Genomic DNA, 25,401 nt, shown 5'->3' with positions numbered 1-25,401 from the left:
AACAAGCCCTAAGAATATTAAAAAAAAGAAATAGCAATCCAGATAATGTTCTAAGCACTTTAAATGCCTTACCTTATTACAACTCACAAAAGCCCTATTAGGTAAGTTGATTCTTCTGGGTTTTTAGTTACAACCAACATAAATCACTTTGGCTGCTTCAAGCAAAAAGACATATTAAGGAACACATAGTTGACATCATTGTTAGGAGAGCTGCAGAAATGGACTTTAGGCCTAGCTTTTAGGAATTACTTCTTAAACCATTCAGCAGAAATGAACGGCCAAAGGGGCTGTTGCCTTGATCACTATTAAGAACCTAAAGAATTAGGAAGCTGCCGGTTCAGATGTTGCTCCAAACTAACAACTGGAAGCTTCCCAATAAAAAAGCTGACTGTTAAATCAGGACGCTATCACTACAGCGACTAGTTCCAGAACGATGCTGCCTCTGCCACTATCCATACCAGCAAAAAATGAAGGTCCTATGTCCCATCTCTCATCCCACACAATCTAGATCTGAATTCAAAGGTTTATGGAAATGCATTTAGTTAACAAACCCTGAACAGTAGCTTTGAGGGATTCTGGAAATGGAAAGTTTCCATTCTCTGTCAGATGAAAAAAAAAATCAAGCTAAAAGGGGATTGGAATAGGTATTGAGTGGACTAATCAACAGATTCACAAATTATGAAACTGAGGCACAGAGATTACGAAACTTGTTCAAAGGCATGCAGCTAGCTAGTTAAGTGGCAGAGCCAGGATTCAAACTCAAGAAGTATGGCTCCAAAGACTAATAAAGCATGCAAGAAAATAACAATATGGTGAACAGGCAAGCTCATGGGGATGAAGTCTCTAGTCATACATACTTTTGCTCATAAATAGCAACTTCTAATTTACTGTACTCAATTATCCTGCTATTACCTCTAGGAATTAAAAGTCTCACAGTTTCTCATCTTCAAAATGCAAACAGATGTCATTAATTTACTTGAGCATTTTATTCTGGTCTAGAAAGTGTTCTCAAGTATTGTGGGGGCGCAGGGACAACCTGAAAAAGGTTCTTCCACCAAACAGTGACTGGAGACATCCATTCCCAGGCTTCGATAACCACCTCCAACTGCCAGCTCCTCACATTAGTTCCATGGCACAAATGAAAAGAATACTTAAAAGCATCCTGAAGTTATTTTAGGAGTTTCTAATGGAACATCTTACTAATCCTACATCAACAAAGTTTGGGAAGCTATGTTGGATGCAACAGAATGACAGTTATTTAGCCTCTGCTTTGGAAAGCTGACCATTCTATAAGCTTTTATGGTCTAGGGAGCTTGAGACTAAAGCTTGCAGTGTATTTTCTGTTATCTGAACATGTACTTCCACACATCTGTGGTATACTTTGGTCTGCTTTTCTGTCTATCTGTCTATCTATCATCTATCTATCTATCTATCTATCTATCTATCTATCTATCTTTCTATCTAATTTATCCATTCATCCATCTCTTCATTTACCCATTCATCTCTCTATGACCCAGATATAAGAATAAAAACATTAAACTGTATCCAAAATAAATATATCAATATGTATAGGCTAAAGCTGGAGAGAAGTGAGAAGGGTCAGTTTCAAATCACAGGATAGAAATGTTGAATATTCCCCACAAAGGAGAATGTGTCAGCTATTTTTTAAAAGATTATAATTTTGAGCAGAAATCCTTCTAGGGGCAAAGAAAAGAGAAAATATTTCATTTGACATGACAAGTTGTAAAATGCAAATCTGCCAGTTTTGGAAGGGTAAATATTTGCTGAAGATTAAGTACATGACAAAGGTACGTCATTAAATCTAAAGAAATTAAAGAGCTCAATTTAATATCACATGCATCTACTCCATTTCTAATAAGCATACAACCTCAACTAGCATGAGCCACAGTCCAATCTATCTCCATGGTGTAGGAGGAAATGATAGATATCTTCAGCATGACTTCCAGCAAGGTGAGTCTGAGTTAATTACTCCAGGAGCAAGTTAAAATGGGTTTAGTTAAACACATGAGCCTGACAAGGACATCAGCCACATGCTGGACAAAATTTAATATTAATCAAATGCACATCAAACTATCAGTGACATGTACACAGAAGCAGGGCTGCTTAAAATTTATCTTTTATTTTTAATTCTTTATTTATTTTTGAGACAGAGTCTCGCTCCGTCACCCAGGCTGGAGTGCAGTGGCGCCGTCTCAGCTCACTGCAACCTCTGCCTCGCTGCAACGTCCACCTCACAGACTCAAACAATTCTCCTGCCTCAGCCTCCCGAGTAGCTGGGATTACAGGCACCTGCCACCATGCCTGGCTAATTTTTGTAGTTTTAGTAGAGATGGGGTTTTGCCATGTTGGTCAGGCTGGTCTTGAACTCCTGACCTCAGGTGATCTGCCTGCCTTGGCCTCCCAAAGTGTTGGGATTACAGGCATGAGCCACTGCACCCTGCCAAAATTTATCTTTTAATTCATAACTAATTTTTATTTTTATCTACATAATATATACTCATAGCTTTTAAAAGTCAGATGAGACTAAAAGTCTTACAATGAAAAAGAAGTTTTCTATTCCTTCCATTCTCCTTTCCATTTCCCATAATCTACCACTCCAACTTACTATTCCTTTTGGCTTTTAAAATCTTTATATGTCTAATTAATATGCTCATATATGATAATGTATCAGTTTTAGACATTATGTGTTGACATCCTATTACAGCAGGTAAGCATATAAGTCTCAGGCACACACATGCACACAAACTCATATATGCACAGATACACAGGTGCTTCCCTTGCCCCATTCTCTAAATATGCTCATATCCAATTTTTATTAGAGCAATATTCAGTGTTTATACTATCATAACTATACAAAGATTGATCGCTACTAAATGTACTACGTTTCATTTACTGTACAATGTTATTGCTTCTGTGGTAAATAGGTATTTTTTTTCCGTCTTTGCCTGCTTTGTTTTGTAACTACAGCTGATCCTTGAACAAGGTAGGTTTGAACTGTGCAGGTCCACTTATATGAGAATTCTTTTCAATAAACATATTGGAAAATGTTTTGGAGATTTGCAACAATTTGAAAAAACTTGCAGACAAATTGCGTAGCCTAAAAATATCAAAAAAATAAGAAAAATTAGGTATGTCATGAATGTGTAAAACATATGTAGATACTAATCTATTTATGTTGTTAATCCACTGTTCATATGATCTGTAAGGCTTCTGGTCAACAGCAGGCTGTTAGTAGTTAAAGTTTTGGGGAGTCAGTGCAGCCATAAAAAGGAACGAGATCATGTCCTTTGCAGGGACATGGATAGAACTGGAAGCCATTATCCTCAGCAAACTAATGCAGGAACAGAAAACCAAACACCGCATGTTCTCACTTATAAGTGGGAGCTGAATGATGAGAACACATGGGCACATGGAGGGGAACAACACACAGCGGGGCCTGTTGGAGGTGGGGGGTGTGTGGGGGGAGGGAGAGCATCAGGAAGAACAGCTAATGGACGCTGGGCTTAACACCTAGGTGATGGGATGATGTGTGCAGCAAACCACCATGGCACACATTTACCTATGTAACAAACTTGCACATCCTGCACAGGTAACCCTGAGCTTACAATAAAAGCGGAAGAAAAAAAAGGTTTTGGAGAGTCAAAAATTATTGCAGGTGGTGGGCGGAGGGGAGGCCAATACTCCTAACCCCTCTGTTGTTCAAGAGTCAACTGTATCCTAATTTTACCCATACCCTCCAATAGCCTCTCAATACAAATTTCCACATGTAGCCTGTTGCGATAGCTCCTCAGGACCCCAGCCCTCCCGGAGAATCTTCTGTCCTATTGCTCCAGTTGGCCTGGCTGCCCTCCAGGCTTGCTCCATAGCTGCTGACCTGGGCCCCACTCAGTTCCACTCCTATATTTCTTGTATGATTTCTAGGATGCCTTCCTCTGCCCCATTGCCCCATTTTCCATTTTTTTGTTTGTTTTGTTTTGTTGCAGATTTCTCCTGCTCCATCCTTGTCTCTGTTTCTTTTAAGTTCTTTATTTATCAGTCTTGGTCTCTATATTTTGTAATAGGGGATTTCCTCAAATAGCTGGTGATTTTTGGCTGTGAGTTCAAATCTAAGGGTGAGGCATTAAAATGCTCATTGGAAGCTCTTGCTATGGGTAGGGCTTATGGTCTGGGGAGTTTCATATAGGATGACTGAACTGTTTTTCCAGAGAGGGATCCTCCCACGTCCTGACTGGCCAGTGACAAGTAAGGATGGTGTTTTAGACAGGAAGGTCCAGGAGGAGAAGGTGGCATTGAATCAGAGACATAAATGCAAGGAGGGAGCGGGCAATGCGAATATCCGGGGTAGGCAGATTCCAGGCAGAGGAAATGGCAAAGGCCATGAGATGGGAACAGCTTTGCAAGGATGAGAGGCCACTGTGGCTAGAGCCATGGGAGCAAGGGGGAGTGCAGGAAGGAGGACATGCACTTCTGGTATATGGAAACAACTTTCACACAGACCTGGTCAGGGACATTAAAAAGCCAAATATTAAAATATTCCATGATATTGTGTAAAAATGAATTGGAATCATTTTTTACAGTATTTGACATCAGACATGGAAAATCACTACTGATTTGCCTTTGTTTGGTTAATCAGGCAGGCTAACAGTTTTGTGCAATTATCTACTCTGTTCAACACTGAAGATTCTGAAAAATAAAAAATTGGTATCTCGTAAACATTTACACTAGAGACTCTCTGAATAAGATATAAATCTGTACACATGTCTCAGCTCAACCAAAGGAAGCAGCTCATGTTGTTGAAAAAAATCAAAAGCTTAAAAAAAAAAAACAACCAGTTGTCAAGGCAACGAGAAAAAAAAATAGACAGAAAATAGTTTCTATCTCAACCACTGTTACATAGTGAAGCTGAATAACTCCTGGTCCTGCTTTGGAAGTTTTATTTAACCTCCGATCGGTCATGTTAGTAGATTGAGGCATGAATGGAGAATCCAGGGGCAAGTTGCTAGCATAAAGCCCCTTAGGAAAAATGTGAGCTCTATGGTTTACAGGTGAAGGCAGGAGAATGATTTTCTTTCTCTAACAATTTTTCTGCAACTTTTCCTGTATAACACAATTTTGCAGAGAATTTCCATTTATCAGCTAGATACCAAATGGTTATTGAGAGACCAGAAGGTCAAATAACTTGTTGGAGGATTTCCAGATCCTTCTCTTTGAATTTCTGTAATTTCAGAGAGTGACTCAGAGTTGACTTTAAAGGCCATCTGTGCTCCTCCACCAGCCCCCACTGCTGAAAGCCCTGGCACTCACATGCTGCCAAACACATTCTCAACTCTCTGCTTCCCAGTTTTCTTCACCTGGTGCTCCCTGGGGACGCTGTGCCCATCCCCTCCCCTAGGAAGCCTTCCCCAGTTCCCCAGGTAGAGCTGGCCAGCCCCCACCACAGCTTCTGCAGTGCTCAGTAGATGGTACTTGGCAGGTCTTACCTCCCATTGAATATCTGTGTTTGTTTTCTTATGGCACGGGGACTTCCCAGAGGCAGGGACCCTGTTCTAGCTATGGTCTCCTGGCACAGTGTGATGGTAGATATTTTTTAGTGAATGAGAATGAATGAATTAGTGTATAGCCCTAGCTTTGAATGTGAAAGAACAATCCCAAATCACCATCAACACAACTAGCGGGAAGAATCTGGAAAGCTAGATAGTACAAAGGGGAGGCAAATGTGTCTGTTCCCAGCTCAACCCCTAGCCAGCAGTGTAGAGGTAGACTTCTCTTATTTCCCAAACTGTGTCTGCAGAATACCACCTATGTTCTCAGGGATGGTTGTGGGGCTTCCATGAAAAAAAAGGACTCCATTTTCTAATAAGTTTGAGAAGGGTAGCCTGCTATCATCTGAATGTGTTCCCCTATTCATATGTTGAAATCCTAACCTCCAAGGTGATAGTATTAAGACATAGGGCCATTGGGAGATGATTAGGTCATGAAGGAGGAGTCCTCATGAATGGAACTCATAAAGGAGACCCCAGAAAGCCCCCCTGCCCCTTCCACCATGTAAAGGCACAACTAGAAGGTGCCCTCTGTGAACCAGGAAGTGGTCTTCACCAGATGCTGAATCTGTTAGCACCTTGATCTTGGACTTCCCAGCCTCTAGAACTGTAAGAAATAATATTCTATTGCTTATAAGCCACATAATCTACAGTATTTTGTTATAGAAGCCCAAATAGACTAAGACACAGGGTGAAAAACATCAAACAGATCTTTACCAAAGACCTTTGCACAACAGTATCTAGCCCACAGAACTGTAAGAGGATGGGATGAGGCAATCCAGGCAAAGTGCTACTAAGCTTGATTAATACTAACTACTGTTTTCATTACCATTACTCTTCTCAAACATCTGTACTTCTGTAGATTGTTTTTTCACATTGAGGACAAGTACTTTTAATTAAAAAAACAAAAAAAGAATGCTACTTGACTCAGCTCATTGGTCAAATTAGAATGTAACCCAGCTGGATGAGTTTGTAGCATTTTTTGCCTATATTATTATATAAATAATCTCTTTCCTAAGTTCTTCTGCATAAAAGTCACACATGCTAATTTCTCTATTCAAAAAAATTAACTTGGAAAAGTTATATTTGAAGAGAAGGACTCACAGGATAGGAGAACCCACTCCTGAAGGCAGGAAGACTCTTCCATAAACCTTTCTCCTGGAGGCAGGGAGCTCTTTTCCCTGCTAAGTCCTGACACCCTCCCGGCCTCCAGGAGAAGGCTCAGACAGGAATGGTAGCTCCCGATCTGCTTTCCCCAAAATTGAGCACTGTTCACTGAAAATCAGCAGAACATAAATATCACATCTACAAAGTAGGCAGATATCTGGATCCTAAGGGTCACAAAGCTGAAGGGAATCAAATGTAAATACCACTTGAAGTTTCACCTCCTCAATGCCAATGACAGAAGTATTATCTGAGATGAATGGGGTTCCAGAAGAGAGGGCTATAGGACCACTTTAGGTAACTGAATGTAGGCTAAGCGTTAGAGCAAATGGAAATGACAAAGATGTGAATCTAAATTATGTTTCTTTTCTCTTTTCTGGACAACTATTCCGCCCCTCACCTGCCCCCTCTCTCTTTCTCTCTCTTTTTCTCCCTATCTCTGTCTAGACATGAATCCAAATTATGTTTCTTTTCTCTTTTCCAGAAAACTATTTTCTCTCTCTCTGTGTTTCTCCCTGTCTCTGTCTCTCTCTCTCTGTCTCTCCCTGTCTCTGTCTCTCTCTCTCTCTGTTTCTCCCTGTCTCTGTCTCTCTCTCTCTCTTCCTACAGGCAGCAGGACACTCAGTTAGATGGACTCTGTTCAGGACAGACAGTAATTTATAGCAACATAATCAAGCAGAGGCCTAGAGAGATAATGCAAATGTCACATTGCCCTCAACCAGGGCAGAGCGGAACAAACAAAACAATGTACCCATTAAGGTCTTTTAAAGGTCAGGAGAAACAGTCTGTCAGGGTTGCAGGAGTGATTTTTCTTCTTACCAATGGACAACCTCATTTAAATGAGTATTATTTCAACATTTCGGAAGTCCGAAATAATCTGTACACCAAACCCGAGTTGTGAGTTTACCTATATAATAAACCTGCACGTGTACCCCTCAACCTAAAATAAAAGTTAAGATATTAAAAAACAAATAAATATTTCAGGAGTCTAAAGCAAAACTGGGGACAAGCTCAGAGGAGTCTCGTGGAAAAAAAGTCAAAAAGGAGAGAAGCCGAGGAGTCTATTTTAGGACTGTTTTAGGAGTCTATTTTTAGGAGGAAAGAGCAAGAGTACTAGCACTGTATGGTGTATGCACCAGGAGCACAGCAGCCCAGGAGCTCCAGGTCAGGAGAAGGAGGACACGTCAGCCATGCAACACTGGCCAGTCACCGCATGGTTCCAGAAATGTAAGCAACAGCACAGCCTTGCACAACTGCTCAGATACCCTCTACCTGGAAAAGCAAATCTTCTGTTATAATTCTCAGGAGAGGACCAGGATTAATGGGATTTTAAGGTCTAAAATATGTTGGATACCTGCTTTTTTCCCCATTTATTTATTTATTTATTTATTTATTTATTTATTTATTTATTTATTTATTATTTTGATTTCCAGCTTTTAAGTTCAGGGGTACACATGCAGGCTGAGCAGGTTTGTATGATCCCTGCTTTCAGGATGAGACTGAGGATGATTATATTAGTAGACTGCATGGTTTTACCCCGGAAGAATACTTTTTTTTCGTGATTTGGAGCATAATGTATATACTAGCCAAACTAATCTTAAAAATTTAAGCCGTAGCTGGGTGTGATGACACATGCCTATAGTCCCAGCTATTCAGGAGACTGAGGCAGGTGGATCACTTGAGCCCAGGAGTTTGAGACCAACCCAGGCAACATAGCAAGATCCTGTCTCTAAAAAAGAAAATTAAATAAATAAAATTTAAGTGGTGAATAAGAGGAGCTGAGTTACAAATTATGGCTTACTATTTTCCAGCAAGACGTGAAAGCCCCGATCTTAATCCAAGTTACACCTTTGTATTTGGAGTAAAGAAAATCAAAGTGGCAACACGTGCAGTTCCACTCTGCCCGAGGAGCTTTTAACAATGTGGAGAAGTCTGTCTCCTGGATTCACTTCCATTATTCTCTAGAAATGAAGAGAGGCCCAGCGCAGAGGCTCATGCTTGTAATCCCAGCACTTTGGGAAGCCAAGGTGGGCAGATCACTTGAGGCCAGGAGTTTGAGACCAGCCTGGCCAACATGGTGAAACCCCATCGCTATTGAAAATACAAAAATTTGCTGGGCGCAGTGGTGCGCGCTTGTAATCCCAGCTACCTGCGAGGCTGAGGTGGGAGGATCACTTGAAGCAGGTAGGCGGAGGTTGCCAAGACAGCTGCACAGCATTCCAGCTTGGGCAAAAGAGCAAGGCTCCGTTTCAAAGAAAGAAATGAAAAGAAAGGGTGGGGAACACGGGGCAGAGAGCATGAAAGCACATGTATTATAGGAAAAGCCAAAGAAGAAAAAAAAATACAACAAAATAGTAAGAGCTTCCCTCTGTAGAAGGATTATGAGTGTTTACCTTTTTCTTCTTTGTGCTTTTTTCACATTTCACATTTCCTAATCTTCTACAATGAACATGTAAACAAGAAAATTGAGAGAGAGAGAGAGAGAGAGATCAAAGGGATTCGGCAACTGAAATGGAGACAACTCCAGGGAAGCAACACAACTACTGTCACTTAAAAGCGAATCTTTGCTGCTGCCTCAGGTAGGGCTTCTGTTCATCTTCCTGTTTCTTCAAGGCCACAGTCCATCACTTGTCCAGTATTTATTAAATGTTTGCCGGCCAGTCACCACATGGTTCCAGAAATGTAAGCAACAGCACAGCCTTTCATATCTCCTGAATGGAGATATGAAAGGTGGGCTGTTGGCTTCAACGAACTTGTGGTCAAGGAATATTCAAAAGAAATAAAATACGTAAAGTAGTATTAACCGCTAAACTATGCTCTTTTGATGATGGCTGTAAATTACAGCTTACAGAGAACAGAAGCTAGAGGTGCTATAAAGACTTCACTGAGCCAAGAAACCTGAGTTGACCCCCAAAGGAGGTGGGGAGTTGGATAAATGCTTATGGTTCTTCACAAAAAGACCATGGCTAGGCTGAAGTATCTCAACAGTTTCTTTTGGTAGGTAATAAAGTTCTGCTTAAAGACAATTAAATACTTGTGTGACCTTTAACCTTGGATCACTGTCATTTTCAATGGTCTGCACTGCTGTGGTGTTCCTTTTCTCATAAGCCAGCACGAAGCACCCACCTAGAGGTGAAGCACAGAAGGATGGTGACCAACTCTTCCTTAAATTATTGCAATGCCTTATTTTCAAACTGATTTTTTTTTACTTTTTATTAAATTATAACGTGCGTATATCAAAGTGCCTAATGCATAATGTAGTCCCTAAAAAATTAAATAAATAAATAAAATTTAAGCGGTAATAAGAGGAGCTGAGTTACAAATCATGGTATATAATATTCATGGTATACTAAATCATAAGCTCTATTAACTTTTACAAACTGAATATACCCAGTATAATCAGCACTGAGATCAAGAAACAGAACAGCACCAGAACCCCAGAAGACCTCCTTTTGCCTCCTTTCAACTATTACCTTCTAAGACTTACCACCATTCTAACACCTACATTGCTTTTTTTTTTTTTTTTTTAAGACGGAGTTTCACTCTTGTTGCCCAGGCTGGAGTGCAATGGCGCAATCTCGGCTCACTGCAACCTCTGCCTCCTGGGTTCAAGCAATTCTCCTGCCTCAGCCTCCTGAGTAGCTGAGATTACAGGCATGTGCCACTACGCCTGGCTAATTTTGTATTTTTAGTAGAGACAGGGTTGGTCATGTTGGTCCATGTTGGTCAGGCTGGTCTAGAACTCCCGACCTTAGGTGATCTGCCCACCTCAGCCTCCCAAAGTGCTGGGAGTACAGGCGTGAGCCACCGCATCTGGCCACATTGCTTTGTCTTTTATACTTTATATAAATGGAATCATGCAGTATGTACTCTTTGCTATCTGGCTTCTTTCACTCAACCTTATATGCATACAGTGGCAGTTTGTTCATTTTCAATGATGAATAGTATTCCGTGATGTGAACACACTACCATTTATTTATCTGATAAAGGGCATGTATAGAGTTTCTAGTTAGGGCCGTTATGAGTGTTGCTGTGACTATTTCAGTGCATGTCTCTCCATGAACATACGGATGCATTTCTCTTAGGTACTTACCTGGGAGTAGAACTGTCTATGTATGCTCACTTTTGAAGAAACTGCAAATAGGTATAACAGCTTATCTGAGAACTGAGGGCCCAGTTCTGCTTTTGCCTGCTTTTAGTCCTAATGATGGGGTTCTATACCAGATCTGTACCAAATCTGATCTTCTATCACCCAAGACTGAAAGACTCCCAAACCATTCTATTGCATCTACCTTAAAAATATTATCTTCACAGATATTGCCTGTGTTTTTTTTTCCTAAAGAAGAGGCTGTTAACCAAGAAGGGTAGAATAAATTATATTGTAGTTCAAGGCAAATTCTATTATAAAGGACAAGCTGCCTAGCAAAACACAACTTATAATTACATTTAACTTCAAAATAAATCAAATTATTCATACAAACCCAACCACTCACTGGTAAATTAATGAAAAACATGACAGTATTGAGCTTTGAATTGCTTCTATGCAAACCCCCAAACTTAAATTTAGGTTATTAAGGCCGAAAAGAGGCAATTAATTTGCAACAAATGCATCCGTAAAAACCTGTTACAACATGGCTGCGGAGTTAATCTTCTCTAAGTTTATAAAGACCATCTGCCCAATTTTTTTGCAGGTTTTCCTTTAGACAATCCTATTTAGACAGTCCCTCCAGACTAATTGCTTTCTTGCTTTTTGAGGGGAGAGGGAGATTAGTATCTTTTTCCAATATCTCCAGTATATAAGCTTCATAAGAGCTCTGTTATCTCAAATGTTGAGTTTAATTTCCTTTCCAGAACATATTGGTCAGAATGTTAAACCTCAAATAAAAAGATTAGTGAGTAATAGTAGGGCTTAAATAAATTAAGGCTTGTAGGCTATGTTGCTACTTTCTGTTTCCAAAAGATAATCTTTTTTCATGTTATTAAACATCATTTGTGACCTTTAAAAAGAACTCCCTGAACTCATTAATTAATAATAAAATCTGGCTGGGCATGATGGCTCACACCTGTAATCCCAGCACTTTGGGAGGCCAAGGCGGGCAGATAGATTGAGCCCAGGAGTTGAGACCAGCCTGGGCAACATAGTGAGACTCTGTCTCTACAAAAATAATTCAAAAAATGAGCCAGGCATGGTGGTGCATGCCTGTAGTCTCGGCTACTCAGGAGGCTGAGGTGGGAGAATCACCTGAGCCTGGGGATGTTGAGGCTGCAGTGAGCCAACATTGCACCACTGTACTCCAGCCTGGGTAACAAAGAGAGATCCTATCTCAAAATAATAATAATGACAATAATAATAGAATCTGGCTAGACTATCACATTAGTGAAATGATATAAAATGACATAAAATCATGCCAATTTTCAATTTTAAGACCTGATAATGCCTATTACACATCTTCAAAATTACTAAATCGATTTGAAATGGTACAAACTACAATCAAATATATTTTACTTGGCACCATCAATTTAAGAAACTGCAAATCAGCACAATAAGGACAGTGAAATGCGAAGCAAAAGAATTGCAGAAAAAGAATAATTCCCCCAATATTACTATATTCCTTATGGTGACAGAAGGAAAAGGAAATTTGTTCTTCTTGGTACAAGACCTACTTCCATGCAAGTGGAAAGGGTGGCTGCTCTAATGATGTGGGAATGGAGTCATCAAGAAATGACTCCTTCCAGCAGCAGGAAATGGTTTGAGGGGCATGGAAAGGAACTTCATAGGCCCTTCCATGGCACCTAGAGTCCCCATTCTGCAGGCCTTTAAGGTTACGATATGTTATAATGTATTATGACCAACATATTTATTCATTCAACAAACAGCTATGAAAGACCTATCACACTGTTCTAAGGTCTAGAGACTCTGTGATGACTAGCACAGATATGGCCCCTGCCCTTACGGAGTTAAAGATCTAGAAGAGGAGGTAGAACCCAGGATAAATAATTATACAGATAAATTCTAATAAGTGACACAAAGGGTGTCCCCAGAGGAGATGACAGTGACTAAATCTAGATGTATGTTGGGGGGAGGCAAGTTAGGGAGTGACTTGGTTACATACAACATGCAATATAGTTAATCAGTGTTGAATATGCTGACTCTACTCTTTATAACTAACACCACCTTTAACCAAGTAAATGATATTCATCGTATCTTTGCATCAGTCATTTCAATGCAACTAATTTTTTGAGCACTTGTTTTTATTTCAACTACTTGGAGGTACCACAAAGGAATGCAGAGATGACCATGGTGTAGTTTCTACCCACAAGAGTGAATGATCTGGTCTATAGAGGAAGTGGTCCACAAATAACTGGCAAGACCACAGCATGAAGTGCACCCTAGTGAAGTACGCACTGTAATGAAGTACGTGTCGAATCAGCCGTAAGGGAAGCTAACTGGAGGCAAGGGAAATCTGCAGAGAGCAAGGGGATTCAGGCTGGATCCTAAGACTATATAGCATTTCTCCAGGCCTAGGAGGGAAAGGCACTCCTGGGAAAGGGAAGAGGTGTGAAAAGTTGAAAAGAAGTGCAAAGGTCATTGTGTATTTGGTGAGCAGGCTGCAGACTGGCAGAATGGCAGGGGAGGAGGGTATGGGGACAGAGATGGGGGGCCTGTGGGTGAAGGCAGGTGGGCCAGACTGCGGGGGCCCATGACTCCAGGCTGGGTGGGGGCTGCAGACTGGGGGTGCCATAGGGCACTGTGCAGAGCTCTTCCACTTGACCTCTGGTCTATATCTGCTCTCCCCGTCTCCACCCTGCTCTGCCCTTGGGAGGCGGACTACGTGGACTATGGCTGATGGCTGCCCTTGCCCTCCAGCTTCGGGTTGGGAGCCAAGAGGAGGCCTGGCAGGAGGTGGAAGGAGGGAGGAGGCAAGGTTGGACTATTTACATCCTTGGATCCCTTCCTGGGCTGGCGGCATCCCTCCAGCAGGCCCACAGCTCGCATCAAGACAGCCCCTCCACACAGCTGCTGCGAGCACACGCTCTCATGGTGGCGGGCCCCAGGCTCTGTGCTTTCCCTGTGGGTGCCACGCCCACTCATGCCTTTGTACATAAGCTCTTCATTAAGCTCTCCTCACTTTACCTGGTTGGACTGTTTCATCTCTTCTCCACCAGGACTTGAGCTGATACAGTCAAGCAGCAAGGAAATGGGGTGGGAGTGGGGGCTACTGACGGCATTAGGGGCAAATGCAGAGAGGGAGGGTCTGGGAGAAAGAGGGGACTGGGGGATGGTAGGTGGTGATGTGGTGAAGGGGGGGATATGAGGGAGGGGCGATGACAGACTAGCCACAGACCACAGCACTTACGTGAAACCTATGCGTGCCAGGCCCTCTTCCCCAGGCTTTCACAGAATTCATTTAACCCATGCAGATTCTGTATGAGGCATCGTATTTAACAGATGAGGAAACTGAGGCACAGAGAGGCCAAGTGACTTGGTCAACATCCCAAACTAGTAAGTGGTGAAGTTCAGATTCAAACCCAGGAGAGTCCGGTACCAGAGTCATATTCTCAACTACTGCACTGAACTGACTACTCCGATTGAGGTCAAGGAGGAGGACTTCAGAGCTGGAGATGTTGGGGGAGGCAAGGGACTGTGATGGCAACTCACAGGAAAGCCATCTGTGAGGACTGTCAAAGGAAAGCCACTTGGAGAAGATCTTGCTATCCTATACAAACTGCCTCAATGACAATGCATAATCTTTTTCTTTTTTTTTTTTTTGACAGTGCATAATTTTGTACAGGTATCAGAATGGCAGTAATCCTCAATGATTTGGATCCTTGCATTCAAACATATTACAATTAGCTCTGCTATAATAACTATGTTCCTAAGAACTTCACATTATAAAAAAATCATATAAATAGCTATTTCAATATGGGAAAAGGAGGGCTGTGGTTACAGAGTTGATAAAACTAGATAATTTTTTCCTACAGGAGCTTCAACAACAAACAACTTAATTATATTTTGTTACCATCTGCAAACAATAAACAGCTTGATCAGACCAACAAAAGAGAAATAAAAGCAAAACCTGAACAGCACAGAAAAATAACCTGCAGTCGTATTCACACCCACTGATGGTAGAGAACAGTGCTTGATGCCAGCTGGCCTCCCACCACTCATACAGTACCTCCGTGTGGCCCTATACCCATGTGCAGCCCTTCCTTCCTGTGGGCCAAGGGGCTCTCCAGTGGCACTCACATCCCAACCCTGAGTGGTCCAGAAAATTCAAGCCCCACTCCCCATGTCGTCAGTTGCATAATACTCAGTTCTGAGAATGAAAACTTACACTGTCAGGAAAATATTGATCAATATCATTTAAGGTCTCTTGCAGCAGATAAGATCATAAAAACAACCATGCTCTGGAAAATAAGGAGTGGTTTATAAATGTAACAATAGCACAGCACACCCTATTACTTTTTTCTTTTAGAGACAGGGTTCTGCTCTGTCACCCAGGCAGGAGCGCAATGGCACAATCATAGCTCACTACAGCCTTGATCTCCTGGGCTTAAGCCCAGCCTCCCACCTTGGCCTCCCAAAGCACTGGGATTACAGGCATGAGCCACTGTGCCGGCCTTGTTATTTTAAGTGGCATATCACCATCTTAACTCAGGTTGTCTTACAGCCACATGCCAACATGGCTATTAATGTCAGAAACTTCCAGAGCAATCACTTTCCTCTCTTTACGGAAAAAGACAGAAAGGGAAAATGCTCCCTAGTCAGACCTATGTATTTTTCATTTGCACTGCGGGCTGTTAAATGTGCTAGCTTAACCAAGACTGTAACGAGGACTCCATTAACCAGCTCTTAGAAACGTGGTCAGCCAGGAGCCTGCAGCCACCCAGTGGGCATTCAATAACAGCTACCGACTGTATTGACTGGCCTCGACCTGATTCTGTTGTTTCTGAATAGCCTCATGCTGGGTCCCACATATGTAAAGACAGGATGAGACAGAATGGTCCATTTCTGAAGCTGTTCACTCTGCAGCAAAGGCAGGTTGCTGCGATTATATGCATGCTCATTTTTTATGTGCAAGAGAAGGCAGTCAGCCGACGACACTTGTTAATGAATGATGTTCCATACCTTCATAGTCATAGAAACCAACAAAGGCTGAATCTATTTTGAATTATTTATTCTTTCAGGTTCCAACTGCTAATAAAGGAGTACATCTTCTCTTTGGGGTATAACAGGAGGGACTCAGTAAAGTAGTTTGGAAAGGACATGGTTTAGCTAAGCCATCCTGTGGTTTTGAAAAGGAAGCTTCGAGTGACCGTAGCAGTCAAAGTACGTACAGAAGTCACAAGAATTCATCCACAACTTTAGATTTGAAAAACAATCTAAATGTTAGGATTTGGAAAAAGCAGTATGAATTTTAGGATCTTCGAATAAAACTGGGAAGACACAAACTTCAATCCATGTTACAGAAAATTGGAGATTTTGTCATCAAATTGTTCCTTGGGTACATTTTTTTCCCTTAAAAATGCAACCTTCATCTCCTGAAGTTGAGGTTGGGAGCCAGGTTTGTCCCAAAAAAAAAAAAAAAACAAACAACAACAAAAACATAGCTCTTCAATGATCATAGAAGAGAAATAATAATTAATTATTCATCATTTTGCACAAATTTCCTGAGCAGCTACTGTATGCCAGGCTTATTCTAGGTGCTGGAGATACAGGAGTGAACAAGAGAGACAAGCTACTTGCTCTGTGGAGCTTATATTCCAGTGGTGAAACAGAAAATAAACAAATAAATAAGGAATTTAACCACAGGCAGTGATAAATGCCATAATGAAAGATAAAATAGAGGAAGGGGATAGAGAGCGAGGTGAATGGAGGCCCAGGTTGGATGGGGAAGGCAAGAAGGCTTCTTGGAAGTCACATCTGAGCAGAGATCTGAAGAAAGTGAGGGAACAGGTCTTGCTGTAGTGGAAGAACATTCCAGACTAAGGGACCAGCAAGTGCAAAATCCCGGAGGTGGGAGTGAGCTTATGTGTGAAGACCAGAAAGAAGGCCAGTGCGGCTGGGAAGAGGTGGGAGAAGCAGTCACAGCCAGGCAGGGAGAAGCCAGATCCTGTGGGGCCCAGAGAGCTGATGGAGCAGCTTGGATTGTGTCCTAAGCGCACTGAAAGGTTTTAAGCAGGTGGAAGTGACATTCTGGTGCTGCTGCTGGAAAGGAGACCAAGGAGGGCAAGCATGGGACTGGAGCCCAGGTACGAGGCTACTGCAGGAGTTGTGGAAGATGGTGGCTGGGGTTTGGGTAGAGTGGAGGAGGTGGTGAGACATTACTCTATTTGGAACACATTCTAGAGGTGGCCTATGGGGACAGATGCAGGCAGTGGAGGAAGCTTGCCCATGCAACCCAGGATGGCTTTGAATGCAGCCCAACACAACTGTGTAAACTTTCTTAGAACATTATGAGATTTTTGGCTGGGCGCGGTGACTCATGCCTGTAATCCCAACAGTGTGGGAGGCTGAGGTGGGCAGATCACTTGAGGACAGGAGTTCGAGACCAGCCTGGCCAACATGGTGAAACCCTGTCTCTACTAAAAATACAAAAATTAACTGGGTGTGGTGGCGGGCGCCTGTAATCCCAGCTACTAGGAAGGCTGAGGCAGGAAAATTGCTTGAACCCAGGAGGCAGAGGTTATAGTGAGCTGAGATCGCGTCATTACACTCCGGCCTGGTGACAACAGCAAAACTCCATCTCAAAAAAAAAAAAACAAAAAACAACAAAAAACAAGTCTATGCTAGACCAGGCACTATGACTCATGCCTTTGGGAAGCCGAGTCAGGTGGATCACTTGAGGTCAGGAGTTTGAGACCAATCTGGCCAACATGCCAAAATCCTGTCTCTACAAAAAAATACAAAAGGGACTGAAGGCAGAGGGGTGGAGGGAAGAGGCCTGAGGCCTGAGGTCAGTAAGAAGTGCCTTGAAGAGCCAGCAGAGGAGGATGAGAAACAGCAGCCAGTGAGGGCAGGAGGAGAAGCTGAGGGAGGGGTCCCAGGAGCCAAGGGAAGAACAGGTATCCGGGAAGGGGGGGATCAACAGTGTAAAACGCTGCTGCTTGGTCAAATACAAAGGACTGGGAACCGACCACTGGATTTGGAAGGACAAAAGACACCACAGTTCCATAACAATAGCAGTGGTGGAGTATATATGGGGGTGGGGGCGGGGTGGGGGAGGGAAGGCAAAAGTGTGACTGGAGTGGGTTGGAGAGAAATCGGGAAGGTAAGAGGTGGAGAGAGTGAGTATAGACAAATAAGACACATCTTTCATAGCCTTCTGCTATAAAAAGGAACAGAGAAACAGGGCAGGACCTAAAGAGGAACCTGGGGTCATGGATTTTTTTTTTTAGATGGGAAATATTACATCATCTTTGTATGTAGCCAAGAATGAGCCAGTCAAGAGAGAAAGATTGATAATGCAGGAGTGAGGGGTTAACGGTGGGTGTGAAGTCCATGACTAGGAGAGAGGAGATGAAGATTAAGTGGAGGGGCTGGCCTTAAGCAGGGCATAAACAACTCACCCACTGTAACAGTCTTCTTGGTGGCTGCTCCCTGCTTCTCAGGTACGATAAGGAACCACACAATTTGTCTCACTGCTGGGACTTAGGGACACAAGCACACACACTCACACACATGCACACAACAAAGCAACACAGCTCTGAGCACTCACTTTATTCATTTATTTATTTTTAATTAATTAATTTTTTTGAGATAGAGTCTCACTCTGTAGCCCAGGCTGGAGTGCAGTGGTGCGATCTTGGTTCACTGCAGCCTCTGCCTCCCAGGTTCAAGTGATTCTCCTGCCTCAGCCTCCCAAGTAGCTGGCACTACAGGCACCCGTCACCACGCCCGGCTAATTTTCTGTATTTTTAGTAGAGATGGGGTTTCATCGTGTTGGCTGGGCTGGTGTCAAACTCCTGACCTCAGGTGATCTGCCCGCCTTGGGCTCCCAAAGTGCTGGGATTACAGGCATGAGCCACCATGCCTGGCTTTGAGCACTTACTTTAAATCTCTCAAGAAAATTAAATTAAATGAACAACTGAAGCAGTAAATGTTAGTTCACCTGAGTCAACACAAAGAACTTTTAGTTAATAAACTTTGCCTGGCCAGTCACCTATGAGGTAGCCAGCATCCAGGATGGCTCCTCACCTCCTAGCACTCACACCCTCAGGTGGTCCCCTTGCATGTGGTCCCAGGGTTGGTCTGTATGACTGTCGAGTGCAGCAGAGGAGATGGCCCATCATGTCTGAGATGAGATCATGAAAGACTCCAGGGCTTCTGTTTGGCTGTCTCCCTCTCTCACGACTCACTGTGGGGAAGCTGACTGCCACAGTTCAAGGACACTCAGCAGCCCTGGGAGAGGCCCATGTGGAGAAAAACTGAAAACTCCAGCCAAGCATCCGGTGGCAGTCTTCTCTGAAGCAGCTCTTCCAGCTCCAGGGAAGGTTTCACTTGGCGGCCACCTCATGACAGACCCTGAGCCAGAACTACCCTATTAAGCCCCTCCTGGATTTCTGATCCTCAGAAACTCTGATATGATCGATGTTTGAGTTTTCCAGAAATTTGTTATTACTCCCAGCTGATAACTAAATTCCCTATCCCTCAATATCCAGTATACTATAATCAAGTTTTTTTGTTTTGTTTTGTTTTGTTTTGAGATAGAGTCATGCTCTGTCACCCAGGCTGGAGTGCAGTGGTGTGATCTCAGCTCACTGCAACCTCCGCCTCCTGGTTCAAGCGATTCTCGTGCCTCAACCTCCTGAGCAGCTGGGATTATAGGTGCACACCACCACGCCCGGCTGATTTTTGTATTTTTAGTAGAAACGGGGTTTCACCATGTTGGCCAGTCTGGTCTCGAACTCCTGACCTCAGGTGATCCGCCCACCTCAGCCTCCCAAAGTGCTGGGATTATAGGCGTGAGCCACCACCACGCCCAGCCTTAATAAGTTTAAACAAACTATATTTTACAGGCTAAAAAAATGTTGGTCACAGACTTCCAGGCAATTTTTAAAGCCCCATGTTTAATATATTTGTCATTGATGGATCTATAAATTTTTATTTTCTCAGTTGATTAAGCACAGATATTAAAAGATTTTCCACAGGACTAGAAGTTGCTGCCTTAACATCCAATACTTAAGCAAACCGTGGATATCAAAGAAGGACTGGGAAGCTCTTTATTTTATGGGACTTTAGGGGAACTGCCTTCCCAGCAGGCTCTTCCTGAGCAGTCTGCTGGAAATTCTTTGTGTAGCTCTAAGACAGCCTAGATCTAGGACAATATATCAGGTTTTTAGGTAACAGCCTGGTTGGCTTTGTCATCCCTGGTCTCTTTCTCCAGAACACTGTAAATCAAAGGCCCAAGCTAAAGCTTGTACATCAAACCTAGAGACAAAAAGGAGAAAAGATCAAAGGAGACATAAATAAAACTTTTCCCTGTGAGACAGTATGGCAGCAGGCTAGGCCATCATTTAATATCAGTCTGAAATAATATTTTCCCTTCTTCACTTTGTGAACTTTGCCTGGTCTTTCACAACTATCCTTTTTTAAACCTTCTCATGTCAAACAACTCTGAGTTTGCCTGGTGAAAATGTCACTGTGGAAGAATTTCTTTTAATCTGAACATCTTGGAGGCTGGTTTCTTGGGTGTTCTATCACTGGGTGGTGAACTTCAAGAGGGCAGACACTGCCTTTAATTCACACTTCATCCCCAGGGGCTAGCACAGTGTCCAGCACATAGCAGCTGCTCATTGAATTTTTGCTGAATAAAGGCACTGAATTTGCTTTCCGTCTCTGAAGATCTACCAAATACTCTTTTGTATCCGTTGAGTATCCGTTGAGTGTTTATTGGCGTAGCATGGTGCAGGGAACCATCAGGGACATGAAGCTGAATGTGACATATATTTGAAGCATTTAATAAGACTGGCTGGGCATGGTGGCTCACGCCTATAATCCCAGCACTTTGGGAGGCCGAGGTGGGCGGATCACCTGAGGTCAGGAGACAAGCCTGGACAACCAACATGGTGAAACCTTGTCTCTACTAAAAATAGAAAAATCAGCCAGGCATGGTGGCACACGCCTGTAATCCCAGCTACTGGGGAGGCTGAGGCGGGATAATCACTTGAACCCAGGAGATGGAGGTTGCAGTGAGCTGAGATCACAGCACTGCACTCCAGCCTGTCTGGGCGACAGAGCAAGACTCCTTCTAAAAACAAAACAAAAAACAAAAAAAAAACACTGTCAAGTCCTCATTATGTATCCACCAGAACTCAGTAATTTTTTAGGCACAACACAAAGGTGTGGCTGTCTTAGCAAGTTACATGATGATTTTATTGTTGTTGTTTTTAAGAGACTGGGTCTCACGCTGTCATTCAGGCTGGAGTGCAGTTGCACCATCATGGCTCACTGCAGCCCTGGCTTCCTGGGCTCAAGCCATCCTCCTGCCTCAACCTCCCAAGTAGCTAGGACTAAAGGTGTACTCCACCATGCCTGGCTAATTTTTTTATTTTTTGTAGAAACAGGGTCTTGCTGTGTTGCCCAGGCTGGTCTCGAACTCCTGACCTCAAAGGATCCTCCTGTCTCAGCCTCCCAAAGTGCTGGGATTACAGATGTGAACCACCATGACTGGCCTACATGATGTTTTAATATGACAACAGCCAACATGACAATAGTCGGTGTTGTTCCTACAGTGCATGAAATCAGTAAGCATTCATTGAGTACTTCTTATATGTGATGAAAGTGAAGCAATTACAAAGGCAAACATTACAGTTAATAAGCAAAGTTTGGAATGAGAAATAACAGATAAGGGTAAGAGTGTGGTCACACCAGATCAATCTGGTTCAACTTTTACGTAACAAAGTTGTGAGTTGTTTTTCAGTTGTCACGGACCCTCAGGTCTCATAACCTGAGCATGCCCAGATGAACCAAGCATGCAACCATGCTTAGTTCCACTAGGGGGAACCTAAGTGCTCAGACCGAGGAGTGGGACTGAATTAAGAAGTAGACACTGGCGGGGCACGGTGGCTCACACTTGTAATCCCAGCACTTTGGGAGGCTGAGGCGGGCAGATCACTTGAGGTCAGGGGTTCAAGACCAGCCTGGCCAACATGGAGAAACCTGTTTCTACTAAAAACACAAAAATCAGCTGGGTGTGATGGCGCACACCTGTAGTCCCAGCTACTTGGGAGGCTGAGGCCCAAGAATTGCTTGAACCCAGGAGGCAGAGGTTGCAGTGAGCTGAGATCATGCCACTGCACTCCAGCCTGGACAATGGAGCAAGACTCCATCTCAACAAAACAAAACAAAACAGAAGTGGACACTGCATGGCAGGATCCAGGATCCAATCAGATTGAGCCCTGGAGTCACCCCATGGTGGATTCCAGTTAGATCATGACCCCCAACATCATCGCCTTATTGTAAGATCCAATCAATCACCTCATTCCAAGATCAATCCAGTCACCTCATTCACGCCTCATTACCATATGCTTATAAACCTCAACCCAGGCCCCCATTTGGGGAGACAAATTTGAGCATTTCCTCCTATCTCCTTGCAAGGACCAAGAGTTCCTGGATCATATGACCTACCTACCAACCAACCCAGTATGTGATTCCAACCCTCTTATTTCTTGGCAACTCTGCATTATTTAACCTATAAAATGGGTACAGGATCCCTGCCTTTACTTACTACAGAAAAATGTTACAAGACAAATCTAAGTGAACAGCCTCTGGCAATGGCAGAGTTAACTATACCAAATTTGCCCTTCTGCTATAAATGGCTATAAAACTGGACAAAATGGCCTGGTGCAGTGGCTCACGCCTGTAATCCCAGTATTTTGGGAGGCTGTGGCGGGTGGATCACTTAAGGTCAGGTGTTCTAGAGCAGCCTGGCCAACATGGTGAAACCCCATCTCTACTAAAAATACAAAACTTAGCCAGGCGTGGTGGCAGGTGTCTGTAATCCCAGCTACTTGGGAGGCTGAGGCAGGAGAATCGCTTGAACCTGGGAGGCAGAGGTTGCAGTGAGCCGAGATAGTGCTACTGCACTCCAACAGAGCAAGGCTGTCTCAAAAAAAATAAAAAAATAAAAAAAAGAAAGAAAAAGAAAAAAAGGAGAAAAAGAAAAGAAAACTGGACAAAAAACAACTGCTTTCAGATCCTGGTCACAGTTAGTATAGGACTTTGATCACTGAGAGAAGGGACGCAAGATGTGCCTACAATTGCCCCCAGTGTTCTGCTGGAGGCACTTCCTAGACCACAGCGCAGGGAAGGGGAATCCAAACAGAGCACAGCAATCTCACTGCCTCACAGCAGTTTCCTCAGCAAAGAGACAGAGATCAGTTTCAGGTGCCTGGAATTTCTGAAGCTGAGTCCTGGAGATGAGGGAGCTAAACAGATAAAGAGCTCCAGAAATCAGCATAGGGATTCTTTTGAGTATTTCACAGTGAACACTAAGTCATAATGCCAGGCACAGCCAGGGGAGCTGTGAGCTGAACAACTTCCAGAACTCACACAGGGCTGGGAGACATGCATGTTCTGACAGCCAGAGTGAGATGACTGTTGAATACCTGGGATATTCAGTACAGACCCAGAAAGGCTAAACCTTGGTAGCAAGCTAAACTAGCTACAGAGTACAGGCTATTCAAAAAATCTCCCTAGTGAGTTTAGGCTGGATGCAGTGGCTCACGCCTGTAATCCCAACACACACACACACACACACACACACACACACACACACACAGAGAGAGAGAGAGAGAGAGAGAGAGAGAGAGAGAGAGAAAATATCCCGTGAGCTTAAAAACAAGTCTTGAAAGGATCAAGTTGATAAGCAAGTAATTTAACTGCCTGCCATAACAAACTTTGATACTTTTTATAAAAAGGCAGCAAAATACAGACACTCTACAATGTAATATCACTAAGTCCAGCATCTCATAATTACTAGACATGGGAAGAAGCAGGAAAATATTACCTATAATCAGGAGAAAAATCAGTCAACAGAAACAGATCTTGAAATGATAAAGATGATGGAATTAACAAACAAGGACGTGAAAGCAGCTAATATTATAAATATCCTCAAGGTTTTATTTTCATTTTATTTATTTATTGAGATAGGGTCTCACTTTGTCACCCAGGCTGGAGTGCAGTGGCACAATCTCGGCTCACTGTAGCCTCCATCACCTGAGCTCAAGTGATCCTCTTGCCTCAGCCCCCAAGATAACTGGGGCTACAGGCAGGCACCACCACGCCCAGCTATTTATTGGTATTTTTTGTAGAGACAGGGTTGCCATGTAGCCCAGGCTGGTCTTGAACTCCTGAGCTCAAGTGAACCACCCGCCTCGGCCTCCCAAAGTGCTGAGATTACAGGTGTGAGCTACTGCGCCCAGCCTATCCTCAGGGTCTTAAAGGAAAACATAATGTATGACAAATAGGAATATCTGTGATAGTTTTTAAACTGGTCCTTTTATACTGTCAGGCATTTTAATCATAATATTAGTTCTTGAGTAGAATGCAGAATCACAGAAAAAATATGAACTGGAAACAAATCAGGAGAGCAACTTCCAGTTCTCGTCCTGCCACTATTTCGCTATGGTCCTCAGATTTTCACTTGCATTTTCCAAAGCTCAGTTTCCTCATCTGTGAAATGTAGATATTGCCCTCAACAATCTTCCTTTTTAAGACTCACACTGCCCCTTGTTTACCCACAGACAGTGAATCTCTCATGCACCCAAATTTATTCATTCAGCATTTCAGTAGAAAGCAACCTTTTATTTTTCAAATCATTGTTGGCAAACCCCGAATATACGCAGTAGAACTTTACTATTTCTGAAGGGGAATCTTCAGTGACTCTTGGTTCTCTCTGTCCTGGCAATCTTTACTTAAAATAAAAAAAATGTCATTCAAGGAAAATGTGTCTTTTTGGAACTACATTTACAATAAAATCACAAAATAATTTTTAAAAAATATAGAGTTGAAATTTTAAAATAATATTTACATTTGCAGTTAATTTTATGACCAACAATTCATGGGCTGTGTATTCTACCAGTTTATGCCATTTCTTTTTCTTTCTTTTTTTTTTTTTTTTTTCGTTTTTTTGAGGCAGAGTCTCACTCTGTCACCCAGACTGGAGTGCAGTGGTGTGATCTCAGCTCACTGCAACCTCTGTCTCCTGGGTTCAAGTGATTCTCATGCCTCAACCTCTGGAGTAGCTGGAATTACAGGCACACACCACCACACCTGGATAATTTTTGTATTTTCTGTAGAGACAGGATTTTGCCATGTTGGCCAGACTGCTCTCAAACTCCCGGCCTCAAGCAATCAGCCCATCATGGCCTCCCAAAGTGCTGGGATTACAGGCATGAGCCACTATACCCAGACCTCATTTCTTTTATATAAAAACAAATTCCTAAGTATGGGAATTCCTAAGACAAGAGGCTATAGGATCCAATAAAGTGGGATAATACTGAGAAGAGACTTTCAGTGGTTATGGGGAACCTTATGAAGATAGATCATGGGTTAGCAAACTTTTCCTGTATAGGGCCAGATAGTAAATATTTTAGGCTTTGTGGACCTTCAATGCCCAGTTACATCTTCTTCTTTTTAAAAATAATCATTTTAAAATGTGAAAGTCATTAT

General features: G+C 42.8%; 1 protein-coding gene across 6 annotated transcripts in view, besides 2 other annotated features; it reads right to left on the bottom strand.

Moving 5' to 3' along the window:
- The window catches only part of SHLD1 (shieldin complex subunit 1), a 114,203-nt gene that overhangs the window by 23,454 nt on the left and 65,348 nt on the right, over window positions 1-25,401 (bottom strand). Inside the window, exon 3 of one of the 6 annotated variants that reach the window (XM_011529181.4) lies at window positions 19,777-23,457. The exons of the other annotated variants lie outside the window; for them this stretch is intronic. Coding sequence (XP_011527483.1) covers window positions 23,411-23,457 — 47 coding nt within the window. The 3' untranslated portion in view covers window positions 19,777-23,410. Of the gene's footprint in view, window positions 1-19,776; window positions 23,458-25,401 lie in introns of those variants that run through there. 6 annotated transcript variants of the gene reach the window in all.
- Window positions 13,588-14,089: an enhancer, noted in NCBI's record as "H3K4me1 hESC enhancer chr20:5807499-5808000 (GRCh37/hg19 assembly coordinates)". NCBI's record gives its function as "activates a minimal SCP1, AML or CMV promoter by ChIP-STARR-seq in naive H9 embryonic stem cells {active_cell/tissue: H9 hESC(naive)}" and the evidence as "EXISTENCE:reporter gene assay evidence [ECO:0000049][PMID:30033119]".
- Window positions 17,975-18,114: an enhancer, noted in NCBI's record as "active region_17531". NCBI's record gives its function as "activates an Ori minimal core promoter by ATAC-STARR-seq in GM12878 lymphoblastoid cells {active_cell/tissue: GM12878}" and the evidence as "EXISTENCE:reporter gene assay evidence [ECO:0000049][PMID:35858748]".

The sequence above is a fragment of the Homo sapiens genome, chromosome 20 (assembly GCF_000001405.40).
Source record: "Homo sapiens chromosome 20, GRCh38.p14 Primary Assembly".
Lineage (NCBI taxonomy): Eukaryota > Metazoa > Chordata > Mammalia > Primates > Hominidae > Homo > Homo sapiens.
This window is presented reverse-complemented; position numbering and strand designations above follow the sequence as displayed.